The 20,605-nt window shown below is 40.6% G+C and overlaps 1 protein-coding gene across 25 annotated transcripts in view, besides 2 other annotated features; it reads left to right on the top strand.

The window, feature by feature from the left end:
* LIPA (lipase A, lysosomal acid type) overlaps positions 1-20,605 on the top strand; it is a 201,108-nt gene that overhangs the window by 167,361 nt on the left and 13,142 nt on the right. For 22 of the 25 annotated variants that reach the window (NM_001440819.1, NM_001440821.1, NM_001440824.1 and 19 more), the window contains 3 exons: positions 1,526-1,643; positions 18,921-19,119; positions 20,315-20,424. In NM_001440819.1, coding sequence (NP_001427748.1) covers positions 1,526-1,643; positions 18,921-19,119; positions 20,315-20,424 — 427 coding nt within the window. Of the gene's footprint in view, positions 1-1,525; positions 1,644-18,920; positions 19,120-20,293; positions 20,425-20,605 lie in introns of all 25 variants that reach the window. The other 3 variants (NM_001440839.1, NM_001288979.2, NM_001440837.1) reach the window with 2 other exon arrangements.
* Positions 11,406-11,905: an enhancer, noted in NCBI's record as "NANOG-H3K4me1 hESC enhancer chr10:90995171-90995670 (GRCh37/hg19 assembly coordinates)". NCBI's record gives its function as "activates a minimal SCP1, AML or CMV promoter by ChIP-STARR-seq in naive H9 embryonic stem cells {active_cell/tissue: H9 hESC(naive)}" and the evidence as "EXISTENCE:reporter gene assay evidence [ECO:0000049][PMID:30033119]".
* Positions 11,906-12,407: an enhancer, noted in NCBI's record as "NANOG-H3K4me1 hESC enhancer chr10:90994669-90995170 (GRCh37/hg19 assembly coordinates)". NCBI's record gives its function as "activates a minimal SCP1, AML or CMV promoter by ChIP-STARR-seq in naive H9 embryonic stem cells {active_cell/tissue: H9 hESC(naive)}" and the evidence as "EXISTENCE:reporter gene assay evidence [ECO:0000049][PMID:30033119]".

Below are 20,605 nucleotides of genomic sequence, written 5' to 3'. Positions count from 1 at the left end.
CTCATTGCGACCTCCGCCTCAGGGGCTCAAGTGATTCTCGAGCCTCAGCCTCCCAAGTAGCTGGGACTACAGGCATGCACCACCATGCCTGGCTAATTTTTTTTGTATTTAGTAGATACAGGGTTTCACCATGTTGCCCAGGGTGGTCTTGAACTCCTGAGCTCAGGTGATCTGTCCACCTCAGCCTCCCAAAGTCCTGGGATTACAGGCGTGAGCCACCGTGCCCAGCCCAATTTCTCTGAATCTTAGATTCAATTTGCTAGGCTTTTCTCACCAGGTAATATGTAGCCAACAAACCTCAGTTTAATGTTATATATACTTCTTAATAAGATAAATTATGATTTTTTATTAATTCATTTCATTTTTAAGTCTCACTAAGTTTGTTTAAACTATAAAAAAGTATTTAAACTTTGCAAGAACATTACCGCTATTGAGAGCTGGTTTTAGAATACATTGAACAAAGGTTGTGATTAAGAATGTCCAGGGAACATATTTCTATACAGAAGTCAAAGTATCTGAGCTAAATTTTGTTAGAAAAAATATGCAAAAATAACCACTCGACTAATTAAAACATCTGAAAGTTATTAATCGTAAGTAAACAATAAAATCTGGAAATACCTCATTTAGGCACAAAATATCAGTAAAGTACAAATTATTAAAGAAAACAGCAACTTTAAAATAGATGTTGCAGTGACCCAGCTGAAGAATCAGGCAAGCTTAGGGACTCGCAGAGAAATTCACAGTGAGCCAGGAGAGTATGACCTGATAACAGGGTCTTAAAGTTAAGTTTTACTTCTTAGCTCAAAGCTTTTCTTTTGCCTCCCAATTTTTCCAACTTTTAAAATAATTTTTTAAATAAGAATGATAAAATTAAATTCTTTCAAGTACTTATGGTAGAGAGGGTATGTGCACTTATTTACATTAAATCCCCTGGATAATTGAATTATCCATATCCCACTGAGCTCCTGATTAACAATTGTCCCATGAATCCTTCCTTATAGAAAAGTGAATGTGACCATAATTCCCTATTTTGTTCAACTTTTCTTCCATCCCACCTTGACATTCTATGTAATTATTTTAGTCCATTGATAAAAACAAGTTAATATTTTTTATACTTTATTGGCCAGCAGGGGATCTCTCAAAACAAAGAAAGTGTTTTATACATTGACAGTTCTAGCTGGGATATTTAGAAAAGAAAGAAATGAGCATTTATTTGTGCCCGGTAGGCAGGATGGAAACAAAGAGGCCCAAGATGTGGTAAAGTTAGGCAAATTTGGTATAAAACATGCTAGAATGATGAAACTGAAGTTTAACCAGACACCGGTAGGTGGAACACAAGCGTGAAACAAGGGAGGATTTACTCTTGTGATGAGAAGTTGGCTACTAGATTTAGCAGACTAAAATTTCAATGACAAATGCTTTCTTAAAGCCTGGAGAACATAGTTTATCTGCTCCTTTGCTTGTTAATGTGGGAGACTGTTTCAGATTCTGTCCACCCAATTTCCATCGTCCTTTTTCTCTACAGAGTGAAATTATCTCTTACTGGGGATTCCCTAGTGAGGAATACCTAGTTGAGACAGAAGATGGATATATTCTGTGCCTTAACCGAATTCCTCATGGGAGGAAGAACCATTCTGACAAAGGTATGGGAAGGCTCTTAAAAGTAAAAACCAGAATTCTTCTGGGTTTTGTGTTAGTAACCAAGTTCAGATTTAACTTAAAAACATTGAAATGGGATTATTTTTAGACGAAAGCACTAACTGTGTTGAGGTTTGCAAGGCAAAGAAAAATAATTTTCTTTTAAAGAAGTAAGGACAAGAGTCATCTAATTTTTTGTTCAAAGGCCAGATTCATTTGAGGATATGCTAAAATCTCTGAGGCTTTGTTTTTTTAAGGAAGTGTATTTAATGAAATGTTTTGAGCATTAAATAGATGGCTTTTGCTATTTAAAAATTATTTAATTTTTTTGAATTCACATAATCTAAAAATCAGAGAATTAGAAGACATACAGTGAAATGCCTCCCTTCTCTCTCACTCCCTACTTCCTGCTTTTTTGTGTATCTTTTTGAAATAACTTCATTTTAAAATCTTTTTATTTCCAAAAATCTCATTAGAAACAAATACACACACAGATTCTTATTTTTCCCTTGCCTCCATTTGAATGCAAAAGATGGCACTATTTTGTTCTTTGAATTTTTTACTTAATATCTTGGAGATCTTTCCATACAATACATAAAGCACATCTTCCAGAAGTGCATGATATTTCACTATATGACTGTATCATTATTTATTTACCAAGTGTCCTATTAATGCATATTTGTGCTATTTCAGTCTTCTGTTAACAAATATTGCTGCTGTAAATAAGCTTTTGTGTGTGCAAGTTTATTTACATGATACATGTCCAGAAGTAGAATTTTTGGATCACAGGATATATGCATTTGTGATTTTGATATATATTGCCAAGCTGATTTTCATGTGCATGTGTCCTGATAATTACTATCACTATGAATATATGAAAGTTCTTGTAGCTTTGGCTTAAAAAGTATATATATACATATATATGTATATCTTTTTTCTCTCTCTCATTTTATAACTCAAGCAAAACTGCAGTTTCCAGTGCAGATAAAGGAATTTCTAGACAGACTGATTGAAATTATTAAGCAGTTATCAGAAGAAGGATCTAATCTTTATTCAATTATCTCTCCAGATGTAGCTTATTTATTTATTTATTTTTTTGAGACGGATTTTCGGTCTTGTTGCCCAGGCTGGAATGCAATGGTGCAATCTTGGCTCACTGCAACCTCCGCCTCCCAGGTTCAAGTAAGATGTAGCTTATTCTCTAACATTTTTTTGTTTCTGGAGACTTTTCTTGGGGAAATTAAGGTTTAGATTAAGGTAGTTAGATAGCTATTTATTCTTCAATTTAAGTGTTATACGGGCAAAAGAGCCACCTTTGCCTCAATTCCTGCCCAAATTGTTATTCAAAGCAAACTTAAACACCCTTTGTGTTAATGTGAGCATTGTATTATTATTTGCTTTGTTTTTTCTTAATTTATCCTAGTTTAACTTTTTTCTTCCATGTGTTCTAGCTGTAATAAGATTTTAATAATGTTTAGGTGGCCACGACAACCATTTTTTTTGAAATTTGATTTCTAACTCTTGAGATTTTTATGCTTTACAGATATATGCCATTAAGCTTCCTTTTTATAAATATGTTATAAAATGAGTGATGAGTTATAGTGAGAGCTTTTAGTTTTTCCTGTGCTCAAAACACTCAAAACATATATTTTATGCTAGAGCGAGCATATGATCTTGGTTTCCTTCCTTTTTTTTCCCCCAAAGAATAACCCCTGTATACTGATTTCAGACACTGTATAAAGAAAAATGCTTTATATTATTTTTCTTAAAATTATAGTTGATTAATTAGTAACGTGAATCACTGTTAAATGATGGTAAGCATCTCAGTAAAACTTGCTGAGAGCTCTCCTCCTATATCCAGCTTCAGACTTCTCTCTCCATACAGTGGTTAAAACACTCAGAGTCACATGCCCTACCTGTGTGTATCACACTGTTGCAGGGGAAGGTGCAGTGCCCTGGAATATGAAGAAAGTGAGCATGAGTCTTGATATGCTCCCAGGTAATAGAAAGGAGACTTATGGGACCTTGGTGCTACACCTGGGTTTGCCCCTGACTTCTTGTGTGCTTTGTTTTTTCTTTTTTTTTTTTAACCTCTGTGGGATATATTATATATACTTTATTTTATTTTTGGCAAGAGGGTTGGGGATTGGGAGAGTGGAGAGTCTAGGTCTTTAGAATGGGGGAATATAGACTGAAAGTATTTACTCTAAGCTAAATCTGTTCATAGCATTTGGTCCTCATGTTCTTTCTCTATTCTGAGAGGCCCTCCCTGTAGGGGATCACTGATGTGTATGTCATACCTGCTATGAGCTAACCTCAGTGGGGAGTCTTCAAGGAAGTCTACAGTGAACAACTCAGTTCTCTAAAGGAATTGTGATTTTCCTAAGAACTGCATAGGCGCTTTCCTGATGGTTTGCATTTCCACATTCTAAAACAGAGCATGGACAGAGGCTCTTTACTGTCCTTCACTCCTATTCAAGAGCAAGGTTGTTGCCACTGGTGTTATTTCCGGTGTTTAAAGGCAAATAGATAAAAAGAATGGAGAAGGCCTTTCACACCCAAAGTGAAACGCGTCCTCTTCTCATGCATCCCGCTTCCCCTCCTGACTTCCTCCTCTATTATTAATAGCACCAGCATCCTCCTAATGACCTAGCCTGGAATCTGCAGAATCATTCTTGACCACGGGTCCTCTCTAGGCCACCCACGTTAAATTGCTTCAGTTCATCTTTTTCTTCTGTTTCCCTGACCACCAGCCTACATTAGGCTCTTGTTACCACTTAACTGGGCGCCTGAAATAAGCTCAGCAGCTGAGAGAGTCTTGAGCCATTTCCATTTTCAAGGCTCCTCGTATACTAACAGAAAGAAAGAATTTCAAGACAGGATTATGGAAATTCAGTTTGCTTATATAGTTTAAGAAATTAATGCTTTTAATACACACAAAAATACTGCTATACATTCATACTATTTACAAGTAATTACAAAATGTATTAAAACATTATTCATTTTTTGGTACCACATTCCTTGTGGAACCTGAGTCTACAGCTGAATGGTGAGCATCTTTCAGTCCTGTTGCCATGGGCCTCTTTGACTGACTGTGTAGCCTCACTTGGAGATCAGGTTTTTTTTATGAACACAGGGCTTGGCCACATGGCTTCTCTGCTCATGTTTGCTTAAAGGCTTTACCTAACTGCTCTTTTCTCTGCCAGGCTTCCTGTTCTCATTCATCCTATGTGGTTTTGCAGGATTAAGTTTCTTAAAGCTTAGCTATAATGATGTGAAATTGCCATTCAGCAATCTTTAGGGGTCTCAGAAATGAAGATACACACTGTTCCTTAAATATTCTGTCCAGCTGGTATTTGTACCTTTCACCTCCATTCTGCACAGTAGTAGCCCTTGGCTACTCGTGCAGTATGTGCATGCTGTTTCCCACCATTAAGCAACCTTCTTAGGAAGTGTTGAGCAATGCTTTGCTCCTGAAGGGAATTGAAATTCAGAAATTACACTTCATAGGGAAGTGGCTCTGTTTTCATCTGCTCAGCCTTATTTCAGAAAGTCATGGGGAGTTAGCACTGGAGGGATCTCAGATTCCTGCCTGGGCTAGGGATTTTTGTTTTTTTTTAAACACACTTCACTGGTGGATTCCAAGGTAGAATTCTTGGTTTTGGCAACCTGTGTTCTAGACTAACATCCTCATTTTGTTGGATAAGACAGCCAGGTTCAAATAGGGAAATGAATTTGTCTCAGGGCAGAGGGTCATGTCCTGACCTGTCTGACTACAGATTCAGTGATCTTTGAACTGGAGAATGTGGCCTTACATAATAAATATTAACCAAGTTGATGCCATGATAGGCACAATATATATTTTATATATATATACACACACCAAGAGTGGCACATTTGTATCTGAAAGTTATGCATCTGATTGCCGAGTGGGTGAAGTGGCACTCTAGACTGTGAAAGCCTGGAATGACTGCCTTCAGCATGCAGAAACAGGCTTTTCAACTGTGGCCTCAGCAAAGATTCCCCAGGGGTTGTCCATTGAGCTATTAGAGTCATAGCTGAAAATTCACAGCGTGGCTTGTGAGTTAAGTCTTTAGAAGGAGACCATCAGCTTGTATTTTGCTTTGATTGTTTATTTTAGAATTCTGGTTGATTTCTAGATTTTTCTTTCCTTATAGAAAAATCCTTCACTTCTAAAGAAACTATTTTTTGAATCACTGCAGTGCTCTAACGGGCTACACATAGGCGTTGGTAATCTGGGATGTAATTCCTCACCCCTGGTGGTGCCGAACAGACATGGTTTCATTAATCAATGCCTGAGCTTGGTGACTTGGGCTGAGCTCAGGCTCATGTAGCACTCTGATGGCGCATTGGGTAGGGGATTGCATTCAGAACCTTTGCCTAATGGAGCAGCATAAGTGAGGTCAGCTGTACAGCTTATCTCATAGACCCAGGTTGGGATCAGAGCAGAAAGCCAAGTGGAAAGGAAGATAGTGCTCTGCCCTGTCCCCTTCCCTCCTCTTCCTCCTGGTTAACCGCTCTGACCTGTCCTCTGTTCTCAACCTAATTTTCACATCTTCAGGGAGGATTTCCTCAGCCTCTCACACCAGGTCAGGCCCCTGGCTACATATTCTTATAGTCCTCTGTGTTTTTCTCCATCGCAATTAAGACAATAAACAATATATTATTATGTAGGTGATGATGTGTGTGACCTCTGTCATCCCCACCAGACTCTGCGGGGATGAAGACTTTTCTGATTCTCTTTACTTGGTAAATTGCTTTAGCTCCAGGCTGCAGTCTACCCAAGCATGCTCCTGCAGCCCTCCTGTGACATTGCGATTTAATAGTGTCCCCTGCTCAAGGGCACACTGCATGAAGGATTTCCTACTCCTGGGCTCCTAGGAGTCCACGAACACAACTTAAATGCTTCCTGTGGTGGGTAAAACTTGAAGCTGTATTGCCTCATGATTAAGCTGAGCATGTGAAGAGCCACCAGTCATGGGTGTAAGTTCTGGCTCTACTATTTAACTGGCTGTGTGACCTTGGCAATTTTCTTTACCTCTTGAAGTTTTGACTTATTCAATTATTAAACAGGAAGAATAATACTGGCTACTTCGTAGGCTGTTGTGAAAATTTGATAAGGCCTGTGAAATATATGCAGTATAGTAAGTGCAGGTGATACAATTTCTTTTACAACATTTATTTATTTAAAATATTAATGAATAAATACATAAATATTTTAAAAGTCTCACCGTGTCTCCCAGGCTAGAATGCAGTGGTACAATCATAGCTTACTACAGCTTCAAATGATCCTCCCTCAGCCTCCCAAAGGGCTGGGATAACAGGCATGAACCATGGTGCCCAGCCTCTGTTTTTAATTTTGAAATGTCAACATGGATTTGATGGTGGTCTCTGATATTGACTTCTTCAGGATTAAGCCCTCCATGACAGGGATGTATTCTAAACTGTGTGGACAGGAGGAAGATGCATTTGTTTACAATGGACAGAAGTAAGAAAAGTAAGAAATGTCATAGAACTATGTCTGGGGGTCAGGTGACAAGCACTGTGTCATTTCTAGCCCTGTGTCCCCTGCAGGTGCTTTCTTCTGTGGACCCTCTGCTCCTTCTGTTGAGGGAGAATTTTGGATGAGAGCTGGATAATTTCCCAAAATTCGCTCAACTGTGAAGCTCTGGAACTCAAGTTGCTGTGCTGCAAAGCTGTCTGAGGACAGGCCGTGGTGGCAGAGAGGGGCAGGGAAGACAGGCAATTTGGCATGGAGATGATGGGCACATTTGTCACATGACCTGGGTTTGATTCCCAGCTGCATCGTATACTAATTGTGTGTCCTAGGGCAAATGATTTAGTCTCTCTAAGCCTCAGAGGCCCCAAAGGAGGAAGAATGATGTAAATGGCCCAGCACCATCCTGGGTGCGTGGAAAACTCTAATTATGATAATGTCCTGGAACGTTCTGCAGTGAACAAGACAGACCACATTACTGCCTTCGTGTTGCCTGGTGATCAGAGTGATTATTGCTGGTTTTGGGGAAAACAGCATTCTGAGGCATGGAACGGTTTTCTTCCCTGCTCTGTGATGCAGGGTGCTCTTGTTGTGTTCACTCCTGCAGGTCACCTGCTCCCCAGCAGGGTGACAGTGAAGTGTGAGTGCAGTGGACTGCACAGTGGCAAAGGCCACATGACTCCTGAATGCATCCTGTGGACAGGCCAAGCGCTGTGCCCTGTGTGAATCATCAGGTGAACTCTCATACAATTCTAGGGTGTAAGAACTCCTATTACCTCCTGTTTTACAGATGAGGAAACCAAGGTTTATAGGGTTAATTAACTTGCCCAAGATAAAGCAGCTGATGGGTAGTGAAGGCAGGAGTCACACAGCCCGTGACTGTTTCTGCCCACTTGGCCCTCTTCTCAGGCTAGAGAACAGCTATGATGTCCCTGATAAAGTCACACTGTGGAAAGTGGAAAGTATCTGACTTAGATGTCCTGCATCTGCTAGATGTCCTGCTTGTGCCTACTACAGCAACTCAGAGAGCTGTTAGGTGACTTATCTGAGATAATGCGTGTAAAGTGCTTAAGTGCTTAGCATGGTGCCTGTCACATTGTCAACACTTAGTATGCGCTTGCTGTTACTATGATTATATTACCTGGGCCAAAGAATGCCACTTCACTCTATCCTTCTTCATAGTGGTTATGTTCTAATAATATTTTATTACATTTACAGTTAACTCTTTAACAACATGGGGGTTAGGGGTGCTGTCCCCCAGAGTTATTGAAAACTGCATATAACTTTTGCATTCCCCAAAATTTAACTAATAGCCTACTGTTGACCAGAGGGCTTACCTGTAACGTACATAGCCAATTAACAAATATTTTATATGTTATATGTATTATATTCCATATATACAATAAGTAAGCTAGAGAAAAGAAAATGTTATAAGGAAATCATAAGGAAAATAGGATGTATTTACTATTCATTAAGTGGAAGTGGATCATCATAAAGGTCTTCATTCTTATGTTGGAACAGGCTAAGGAAGAGGAGGAAGAGGAGGAGTTGGTCTTGCTGTTGTAGGAGTAGCAGAGGTGGAAGAGGGGGAGGAAGTGGAAGGGGAGACAGGAGAAGTGGGCACATTCAGGGTAACTTTATGAAAATACATTGTAATTTCTGTCCTTTTTTCATTTCCCTAGAAATGTTTCTATAGAATAGCAATTCTTCCATCATTTGCTTTAGTTTCAGTGCCTGTGTCATAGAAGCGTCAGTGTTGTAAAGGAAGTCTTGAATAATTGCAATTGCCACCCTTCTCCTGAATTGTCTAATATCAGTTTGTTTTCTAGCACTGCATCTCCCATGTCTTCTTTCCCATCGTCTGGTGCTGTTTTAGAAGCACTCGTCTCCATCAAATCATCTTCTGTTAATTCCTCTGGTGTGTCTATTAGCTCTTGACTTTATTTAAGATGCATATATTGAAACTATTTACCTGCTCCCACCCTCCACCTTTTTGCCATATCCACAATCTTTTTCTTGATTTCCTTGATTGGCTAAGTCATGGATATGGATACTGTGAAGTCATGCACAACATCTGGATACACTTTTCTCCAGCAGGAATTTATTGTTTCAGGCTTGATAACTTTCACAGCTTTTTCTGTAACAACAATGGCATCTTCAGTGGTGTAATTCTTCCAGACCTTCATGATGTTCTCTCTGTTGGGGTTCTCTTCCAATTCAATCCTTTCCATAGTGTATGTGTGTAATGAGCCTTAAAGGTCCTTATGACCTCCTGATTTAGAGACTGAATTAAAGATGTGTTTGGGGGCAAGTAGACCACTTCGATGCCTTTGGTATTGAATTCATGGGGTTCTGGGTGGCCAGAGGCATTTTCCTATATCAAAAGAACTTTGAAAGGCAGTCCCTTACTGGCAAAGCACTTCCTGACTTCAGGAAAAAAGCATCAATGGAACCAATCTGGAAAAATAGTTCTCATTGTCCAGTCCTTCTTATTGTACAGCCAAAAGACTGACAGCTGATGTCTATATTTTCCCTTTAAGGCTCAGGGATTAGCAGATTTATAGGTAAGGGCAGACCTGACCATCAACCCTACTGCATTTGCACAGAACAGTAGAGTTAGCCTATCCCTTCTTGCCTTAAATCCTGGTGCTTGTTTCTCTTCCTTACTAATAAACGTCCTTTGTGGGATATATATATATATTTTTTTTTGTTAGAATGGAACACTTTCATCTGCATTAAAAACCTGTTCAGGCAGATACATTTTCCTCTAGGAATTTATATGCAGCCTCTTGGTTGGCAGGAGCTGCTTCTTCTGTTATCTTGACATATTTTTAAAGTTTTTAAAATTTTTAATTCTTAAAATTAATTAATTTTTGGTTTTTTAGAGACAGCATCTTGCTCTGTCACCAAGCTGGAGTACAGTGGCACCATTATAGCTCACTGTAACCTCAAACTCCTTGGCTCAACCAGTCTTCTCACCTCAGCCTTCTAAGTAGCTAGGACTACAGACATGTGCCAACCATACTCGGCTAATTTTTAAAACAATTTTTGATAGAGATGGGGATCTCACTGTGTTTTTCAGACTGGTTTCGAACACCTGGCCTCAAGAGGTCCTCCCACTTTGGCCTCCCAAAATGCTGGGATTACAAACATAAGCCACCGTGCCTGGTCTATATTGGCATTTTAAAAGCCAAACCTCTTTGTAAAATTATCAAAGCATCTTTTATTGGCATTAAATTCTCCAACTTTAGATTCTTCACCTTCTTTTTTCTTTAAGTTGTCATATAATGACTTTGCTTTTTCTTGAATCTTAGAGTCTAGAATCTATTCTTGCTTTATCTTGAATATTAGAGTCTAGAATCATATTAGAGCAATCCTGCACCCACATAAAAGCTGCATTTTCAATATGAGATAAAAGGTATTTCGGAAAAAGTGCAAGGTTTTGGCACTTGCTGTCATAGCTGCAATGACAAATGGCTTCACAAATTTTCTTTCCCTTTTTTTTTAACAGTCATCTTTATGTGTCATTTATCTTGAAATGAAGATAATTGAAGCTGCAGACCTCAATCTATGACACATATCAAGCAATTCAACTTTTTCTTGTCTGGACTTTTCTCTGCTTTTTGGGAGCACTCCCAGATCACTATTAGTTCTTTGTATGGGTCCAATGGTGTTATTCAAGGTTTATGATATCGTGCTAAACATGATGAAAAACATATGAGAACTGCAAGAGATCACTTTTTACTGCAATGTGCAATTTACTGGAGAAACTGCTTACGTGGAGATGATTAGTGTCATGAGAAATTTAAGCAGATATTTACAATACTTGAGCAACAGGAGGCGGCTACAAAATTATTACAGTAGTACACAATAAACTCTAGTTAATTTTATGCAGTTATGATTTAATACCACATCTTTACATTTGTTTACATTTCTCTTAACTGTCAATGGCACCATGTTTGGTCTGTAAGTGTGTGTCTAAGTTTTGAAAATGTTAACTTTTTATACTTTGTGTATATTTATGGTAATAAATAAAAAAGGCCAATATCTAAATATATTTTATGCATTCATGACATACTTAACCTTTTAGTAACTTTTTATTATTTCCAGACTACAGAGTTGGTCTGTTAGTTTTTCTCAAATTGTTGCAAATCTCCAACAAATTTTTCAATGTTTATTGAAAAAAAATCCATGTATGAGTGGACCTGTGCAGTTCAAACCTGTGTTGTTTAAGGACCAACTGTATAGATTTATTATTGTTACTATCAGGGACCATTATTTATTCAGCTTTACTATGTATTAACTACTTCGTCATTCTCACTTTAGAAAAGGACACCTATACTTCAGAGAGAGTTGAGCAAATCCTACAAAGTTTTGTAGCCAGTAAGAACTGAGGTCTGCTTCATGCTAACGCCCTGGTGTCTGACCACCTCCTTGTTCTCTGTTTTGGTTCTGCCCTGGCCCTCAGCTGATTTCTCACATGTGTTTTGGAGTGTGACGGAGTCCTGTCCGGACTCAGCATCCTGGCAGAGAAGGCCAGTGCCTTGGGAGGCAGGAGGAACTTCCCCACCTACCCGGTCATCTTCCTCCTGCGGGACTGTGGGCTCAGCACATTCAGTTTCGGAGCTTGAGTAATCGCCTCCTGGCTTCCACCCACACTGGGAAGGCAGCGTTGTCGTGGACTGCCACTGGGCTGCTTCTTTGTCAGCTTTGTCCTATTTAGGGCCATAATGAAATCACTTGCCATCTCCAGGCTGAGAAATGGTCCTTTAGTCTTTTCCCTTAATCCCCAGCCCTCCTAGGGCTTCTTTTTCTTCAAGTTGCATTTGCACAGAACTCCCAGAGCCACCCGTAGGGCATAGCTGGGGAAGGCAGCCCTTGACCTGTCATGCTGGTTTGTCACTCTGACAAACAGGGCTTCAGGGTGCCTGAGTGCATTGAGCAGGCTGGGCCTTGGAGGAGCTGCCTGACCAGGCGAGGCTGAGTGGGTGCCCCTCCTTTCATTCCCTATCCCCCTCCATCTACTAGAGATTACTTTCTTCAAGCACTTTGTCCACATCCTTTCAAAAATAGCTTTCTGCCTTCAGCCGGAAGGCCTCAGTGTGTTCTAGAGACTTCTCTCTTGTTAACCTTCTTTCCCTAGCAAAGCACTGAAAAGCATGGCCTGTGGTGTCAGACACACCTGGTTAGACTCCAACCCTCACGCTTCCTAGCTCTCGTTCAGCCTTGGGCAAGTTACTTGACTTCTTTACCACAATTCCCTGTTCTGTTAAATGGCAGTAGTGCCAACTTCAAAGGATTTTCAGTACAGTACCTACAGCATACAAGCGTGCAATCGGCGCTAGCTATCATTTCAATCAGCTGTTCTCAGCAAGGTGAAGTGAAATCTGAAATAGTTCACTGGAAGATGTGAACAGCAATAGGTTTTACCTTCCCAGAGAGAAACATCCTTTGCCAGTCAATCCTTAAATCCTTCTTTGGTGGTGGGATGGGAAAGAACCACATTGTACCTTCCTTTCTTCCCCCTGGTGGGAGCAGGTGAGAGAAGCTGGCAACAGTTGGCTGGGCCTGCTTCCAGCGTCCAGTCTTTTCCATTCCCTTTTGTATTCACCCAATGCCAGAGGGAAGGGGCAAGAGGTTTGGAAGCCATTTTTAAAGGTTTTTCACCCGAGGATTCGATACTATTTTCTTTGCTGAGGATCCGTCATGCCTAATGGAACTGCCATCTCTAGAAGTTCAGTAAGTTATATCCTCTGCATCTCCCTCCTCAGAAGAGACTTTTTTGTTCTGGGATGAAAGGAAACTGGCCCAGCCTGGAAAGATGTGCACCCCATGAAGTCCTTCCTATTCCCTGTGTCCCCAGGTCAGACAAGGCACTGGACTTTTCCTAGTGGTTCCCCAGCCTGGCTGCGCGTCAGAATCAGGCAGGGAGGCTTTCATGTGCACACTGGTCCCATCTGGCCAAGGCCTGGGTGCAGTGTCAGCTCTTTATTCATCTGGCTCCTATGTTTTCTCCAGAACCCTTTGTGGAAACATCTGTCTCTTACTTAGAATCCAGGTCAAATGTTTGTCCCACTGGCCAAGTAACTTTCTCCTTCTTCTGGGACTTCCTGAGTGGTGTTCTAGCCTTCTTCTTGCTGGGTTAGACAGTCATCGTGTGTCTGACTCCCTCGAGGATGGAGCTCCCTGTGGGAGGGAGTGTGGGTTACCCATCTTTGCATTCCTAGCATCTATTAGTTTGGGGCAAAAGTAATTGTGGTTTTTGCCATTGCTTTTTTATTTTGTGGGGGGTGGGGGTAAATGGAATCCCTCTCTGTCACCCAGGCTAGAGTCCAGTGGTGCGATCTTGGCTGACCACAACTTCTACCTCTTGGGTTCAAACAATTCTCCTGCCTCAGCCTCCTGAGTAACTGGGATTACAGGCACCCACCACGAGGGTTTCACCATGCTGGCCAGGCTGGCCTCAAACTCTTGACCTCAGGTGATCCACCCGCCTCGGCCTCCCAAAATGCTGGGATTACAGGCGTGAGCCACCGTGCCCGGCCTGCCATTGCTTTTTAAGGGCAAAAACCACAATGACTTTTGCAACAACCTAATAGCAGTGGCTGGTACTCAGTAGGCACCACTAAAGGTTTGCACGAAACGTAATGTATGTTTTCAAATCACTTCTTGATATTTTACCTTCTAGTGCACTGCTTAAGATACAGCAGATTTCCATTAAAAACTTTTCACCTGAATGTGGAGGACACAGCTGAGTGGCCTCCATTCTCTAAAGCCATGCCATTTGTCAGACGTTTACCTTTCTTCATCAGCCCTTTTCCTCATCTGCCAGCATTTCCCATGAGAAAACAGTGTGGTCTGCAGTACCCTTTGCAGTGCTTGGCCCAGATTCTCCAGATTTGAAAACATTTAGCTTGTAAAGAATAGATTCACTGTTTCCTTCCCATCTGCTGCATCTTTTGTGCCTGTTGTTCATTGAGCTTTTGTATTCAGCTTGAAGTAGGGGATGGAAGAACCCTAACAAACAAAAAAGGACAATTAGAAAAATAGTGTCTTTGACTTATTCTCTGGAAGCCTCCTTCAAAGGATAAAGTAATTCCCTGAGAAAAGCGTTGTGCAGGTGTGAATTCGGTCTGGGTGGAACAAGGGTATTTACCGATGTTCTTAGAAGCTGCACAGCCACCTTAGGCGTGGTCTCCTGGGTAGCACATGCTCCAGCTGTCCACAGGCCATTCCTTTCTTCACACTCACCTCCCAGGAAAACTGCAGCAGCTCCTCATTGCCCTTGGGAATCCAGGAGTTATTTATTGGGGATGTTTAAAGACTTTCCTGATGTATCTTCAACTTGTCAGCTTCCACATTTCCCCATTCAAAGCTCTAGAGGTTACAGAGGGAAGTACAGAGACTTTAGGGAAATTTTAAACATTCTCCATCGAGAGAAGGTGGGGAGCTGAGTCCTGGTCCCATGTGCTGGCCAACATCTCCCCTTCCAGCCTCTGTCCTGGCCTGGCTGCCACATATCACCCTCCTTCTCCTCTCTCAATTATCCTTGCCCCAGGGCCCTCTTTGGTTTCAAACCATTCCTGCCTTTCTCTGGACACTCTCCCCTGAGGAGTAGACTAGGCAGTCCCATGTTTTCCGTGTTAACTACAGAGGCACAGATTGGAACAAGTGCCAAGGAATTAGGCCACCTACCGAGCCTTCCTCTTGCCTCTCTCTGACTCTCCATCCTGAGGGAAGACGATTGCAGTCGTTTTTGTTGGAAATGACCTGACCTGTGGGAGCAGCCCGTTCCTGGCCTTTCAAAGTCAAGTCACCTTACTCATGGCCTAGCTCCTGATCACTCCTGGTGGGTGAAAAGTGCCTCAACATACCTAAAGAGCTGTGACATGAGCAGGAAAGCCCCTCTTTCTAGAAAGTGTTGGGCACCATCAGTACAGCAGAGCCACTGCATCGTACAGCGCCCGGTCACCATTCTCACGTACAGTTACCATGAGATGATGATGGTGCCTGTAGTTACACATTTTTCAACTATAATTTAATGATAAATTAATTTTGGTAATTATAATTGTCACTTACACTGCAGTTTATAATTTTGGATTTTTAATGATCAATTTTCATATTTTCCCAGCTGGATTATCATCCTCTTCATTGAAGCCAAGAAGCCTGTGCATAAGACGCTGTATCTACCACAATGCCTTCCACTTACATTTTTCGTAGTAAATTTAGTCTTGTTAATATTGCATTAAAATGAACCTTTGAAGGCAAAGATGAGCACATAAAGCAGCCCTAATCTTGTCCAGTTTGCTTTCTATTTTCTCCCCATGGGTAGAAGTTCACCTGCATGGCCCTGGCATTTCTATTTTGTGATTAGAAAATCACACCAGCCATACATGATGTTTCACTTCTGTAATCCCCGCACTTTGAGAGGCCAAGGCGAGAGAATCACTTGAGGCCAGGAGTTTGAGACCAGCCTGGGCAACATAGTAAGACCTCATCTCTATGAAAAGTTTTTTAAAAAATTGGCTGGATGTTGTGGTACACACCTGTAATCCCAGTTCTTCAGGGGCCTGAGGTGGGAGGATCACTTGAGTCCAGGAGTTTGAGGCTGCAGTGAGCAGTCATGCCACTGCACTCCAGTCTAGGTGATAGAATGAGACCTTTTCTCTCTTAAAAAAAAAAAAGTTATGGGAATCATTTTATACTCTTGGCCTGGGGTCCTGCTATTTTAACAACACGAGGGTATAGCACCCCCAGGTTGTACAACTCCAGGGAGTACCATGTATATTTTCATGTATGTGAGCAGTGCCTTCCGGAGTAGTCTACGGAAGCTACCTTGCAGCAGAACTGTCATTTAAAAACAATTTGCTAGTTATCAAATCTATATTAGGACATTAGCAGAAATGAACATTTGTCAATTCACTTATAGTCTTATCATCTGGACAAATCATTCTTCTCATTTTTCCTTGGTATTTTACACTCCTCTTTGGTGTACATTAATTTTGCACAGCTGTAATTTAGAGTAGTCTATAATTTTGTATTTTGCTTTTTTTTCCTTTGCAAGGTATAAGCTTTTCTATGCTGTCACTGTCCTTGTCATGGTTGATGGATAATTATTATACCAAGTGGATTTCAATGAATTATTTGACCACTTGACAATTAGCTTATTTCCAGTTTTTCACTGTTATAAAGAATGAGCAGAGGGCAAAGGAAGCTCTCATTTGTTCACTGTGACCCGTGTGTCAGTCACTATACTGGATACTTACCTCACTTATTCCTCTTAACAATTATTTTTGGAACTGAGACGCAGACTGGTTAAGCAACTTAATAGTATGAGTTGATATATAGTGAACTCTTACTGTGTGTCAGACTCTTTGCTACCTACTTTTCATATAATATCTCATATCTCACTGTGTCCTATAAAATGTGTATTATCATTTCTACTCTTCAGGGAATTATATTAATTTTAGGAGATGTTTCCCCAAGGTGTCATGTTAGAACTTGGAGAGGACAGAGTTGAGCCTAGGTTTGTTTGAGCTGTCTAAAACTCATGATCGGGCTGGGCGTGGTGGCTCACACCTGTAAACCCCGCACTTTGGGAAGCCGAGGTGGGTGGATCGCTTGAGTCCAGGAGTTTGAGACCAGCCTGGGAACATGGTGAAACACTGTCTCTACAAAAAACACAAAAATTAGCTGGGTGTGTTGGTGCACGCCTGAAATCCCAACTACTCAGGAGGTTGAGATGGAAGGATCACTTGAGCCCAGAAGGTGGAGGTTGCTGTGAGCAGAGATCACGCCACTGCACTCCATCCTGGGTCACAGAGCAACATCCTATCTCAATCAATCAATCAATCAAATAAGTGGATAAAACTCATGGTCAGTATAATGTCAGCTCCATGGAGGTACTTTTTTTCCTCTTGTTTTTGTTCTCTGCTGTGTTCTCAGTGCTGAGAAGAAGGCCTGGCACATAGTTGGTACTCAATAAAGGCTTGTTTCATGAATAACTGAATGGTCTCAGCGTTAGGTAAGCAGCTTGAGGTCAGGTTTCTTTGGCTCCCACATCTTTGTTTTTTCTGCTATATCACTGTCTCGGGTACAGGTGAGTAGAAAATAAATTCTCACAGGCAGACACAGACACATATATTTATGAATTTGTGTGTGTGAGCCTTTTTATCTATTTAACTTTTATTCAGCTTTAAAAATTTTTATTAAATTTTATTTTTTAAAGCAGTTTTAAGTTCATAGCAAAATTGAGTGGAAGGTACAGAGATTTCCCATACACCCTCTGCCCCCACACTCCCCTGTTATGAACATCCCTCACAGAGTGGAATTGTAATTGTTACAGCTGATGAACCTACATTCACACAAAGTCCGTAGTTTACATTAGGGTTCCCTTTTTTTTTTTTTTTTGAGACTGAGTCTCCCTCTGTCCCCTAGGCTGGAGTGCAGCAGTGCAATCTTGGCTCACTGCAACCTCTGCCTCCCGGGTTCAAGCAATTCTCCTGCCTCAGCTTCCTGAATAGCTGGGATTACAGGTGTGGGGCACCACACCCAGCTACCTTTTTTGTATTTTTAGTAGAGACAGGGTTTCGCCATGTTGGCCAGGCTAGTCTCGAACTACTGACCTCAAGTGATCCACTCGCCTCAGCCTCCCAAAGTGCTGGGATTGCAGGCATGAACCACCACACCCGGCCACTACAGTTCACTCTTGATGTTGTATATTCTATAGTTTTGGACAAATGTATGATGGCATGTGTCTACCTCTATAGTATCATGCAGAGTAGTCTTACTGCCCTGAAAAATCCTCTTTACTCTGTCTATGAATTCCTTCCTCCCTCCTAACCCCTGGCAACCAGGATCTTTTTTACTCTCTCTATAGTTTTGTCTTTTCCAGCATGTCATATAGAATGCAGCCTTTACAGATCTTGGTAATATGTATTTAAGGTTCCTCTACATCTTTTTGTGGCTTGATAGCTCATTTCCTTTTAGGGCTGAGTAATACTCCATTGTCTGGATGTAGCACAGTTTAGTTATGCATTCATTTACTGGAGCACATCTTGGTTGCTTCTAAATTTTGGCAATTATGAGTAAAACTACTATAGACATCTGTATGCAGGTTTTTGTGTAGATGTAAGTTTTCAACTCCTTTGGGTAAAATACCAAGGAATGTGATTGCTGGATTATATGGTAAGAGTATGTTTAGTTTTGTAAGAAACTGCCAAACTTTTCCAGTGTGGTGCTACCAGTTTGCATTTCCACCAGCAATGAATGAGAGTTCCTGTTCCTCCACATCCTCTTCAGCAGTTGGTGTTTTCAGCGTTTTTGGATGTTGCTCATTCTGATACGTGTATAGTGATGTCTCATTATGTGTGATCTTTTTCTTTCCTTTTGTTTATTTTGTTAGGAATTATTGTGAGAAATGCAATTACGAAAGCAAATTGTAAAAACATTTTATAAGAAAAAAATTGTAAAAACATTTTATAATTTCTTAAAAATATATTGATTTTTGTTTTTGCTGCTTACATAAGTGTGTCTTGTTAGTGGACATGCAAAAAATGGTCCAGTTTCACTGCTACCTTGCCAGTGCTGTTTTAAAAAAATTCTTTACTAACATTATATGTGAGTACATCACTATGTCAATCTTTCAATTTATTTCTAGTTCATTATTTGCTTATGGATCTTTTACGAATGTTCTATTTAGCAAGATATCATATTTGTTTTGAAGCTTGGTGCTACTGCCTCCTAAACAATGAATGTTTTTCAGGTCCCAAACCAGTTGTCTTCCTGCAACATGGCTTGCTGGCAGATTCTAGTAACTGGGTCACAAACCTTGCCAACAGCAGCCTGGGCTTCATTCTTGCTGATGCTGGTTTTGACGTGTGGATGGGCAACAGCAGAGGAAATACCTGGTCTCGGAAACATAAGACACTCTCAGTTTCTCAGGATGAATTCTGGGCTTTCAGGTATATATGAATTGATAATGGCATGGATGTATTTCCTTAGTACTCTTAAAGCAGACAACAGGCTTCCAGCAGAAGAGGTAGATAGGTGGTAACTCTGAAGTTGTATGAGAGGGGAAGTTAGTGTCTTTTGAAAGGTTTTAAATGTTGCTAGGAATTTAATGACTAGCAGTAAGGTAAATTATAAGTAAATGATTACATTAAGATTTACATTTAGTTAGGAATTCTTAAGTTACTTCGGCATTTCTGGTGGTGTGGGTGCTGCTGGGTAAACGTTATTCCATAACTTTCCTCCTTTCTCCATAAATATGTAATCCAGATGTTCACTTTTCTTCTTTCCAGAAATTATCCTTTCCTCCCTCTTCCTTCTGGCTCCACCAGTTAATTGCTGTATGACATTGGACATCTTACATAAGCCTCCTGTGTCTCGGTTTCCTTATTTGTAAAATGGAGCGTAATAAACACCTACCTCATAAGGTCACTGGGGGCTTAAAGGAGAGGGTGCAGAGAAGGAACCTCCACAGAACCTGGCACCTTGTATGAACTGGCTAGGGGTTGGCTCTTCTCCTGCCAGTGGCAACATGCGCATGCATATACCCATACGCACACTTGGGTTTTGGTCTATGTTTTGGTACCAGGTATTAGAGAAAGTCAGCAGCACTATAGCAGCCTCCGGGCTTGCTTCCCATTTTTAAAACCAGAGGCACCTCTAAGGACATGAAACACAAGAATGAGAGCTTTTAACAAAAGGCATATACAAGAATTGGTTTATTGTCACGCTATTTGTAACAACGGAAAACAGGAAACTACCCAAATGCATGTCAGCAGTGAATGGATAAAGTGTTGTATATTTATATAGTAGAATAAGAATGAACAACTTACAATTATATGCAGCAAAAAATGGATTAAGCCAGATACAGGAGAATACACATTGTATAATTCTACTTACAGAAATATTTAAAAACAGGCGAAACTAATTTCTGGTGTGAAAAATGAGGACAATAGTTACTTTTGGGAGACACAACTGGAAGAGAGCCCAAGGGGGCTTCTGCAGTCCTGCTGGTGTTGTTTCCTGGACTCACTGCTGGTTTTCCCAGCTGTGTTTAGTTTGTGATAACTCATCAAACTGCATACTCAGTATGTGTGTGCTCTATTTTATGTACTATTTCAATGAAAGAGTTCCTTTCTTGGATTACAGTTATGATGAGATGGCAAAATATGACCTACCAGCTTCCATTAACTTCATTCTGAATAAAACTGGCCAAGAACAAGTGTATTATGTGGGTCATTCTCAAGGCACCACTATAGGTATGTATGTAAATAAGATCAGAAGTTGATATAAATTCTTCATTACAGAGTTTGTACTTTTCTTAAAAGTGAAATATAAAAAGATGTTAGTTCAAATTCCATTTATTTTTAAATGCCAAACAGAAATAATGAATAAGATAAGGAATGTTGGTAACATTTAGTCTTCTATGAAAATTCATGT

Source organism: Homo sapiens, chromosome 10 (assembly GCF_000001405.40).
Source record: "Homo sapiens chromosome 10, GRCh38.p14 Primary Assembly".
Lineage (NCBI taxonomy): Eukaryota > Metazoa > Chordata > Mammalia > Primates > Hominidae > Homo > Homo sapiens.
The sequence above is the reverse complement of the archived record's forward strand: the minus strand, read 5'-3'. Positions and strand labels throughout refer to the sequence as shown.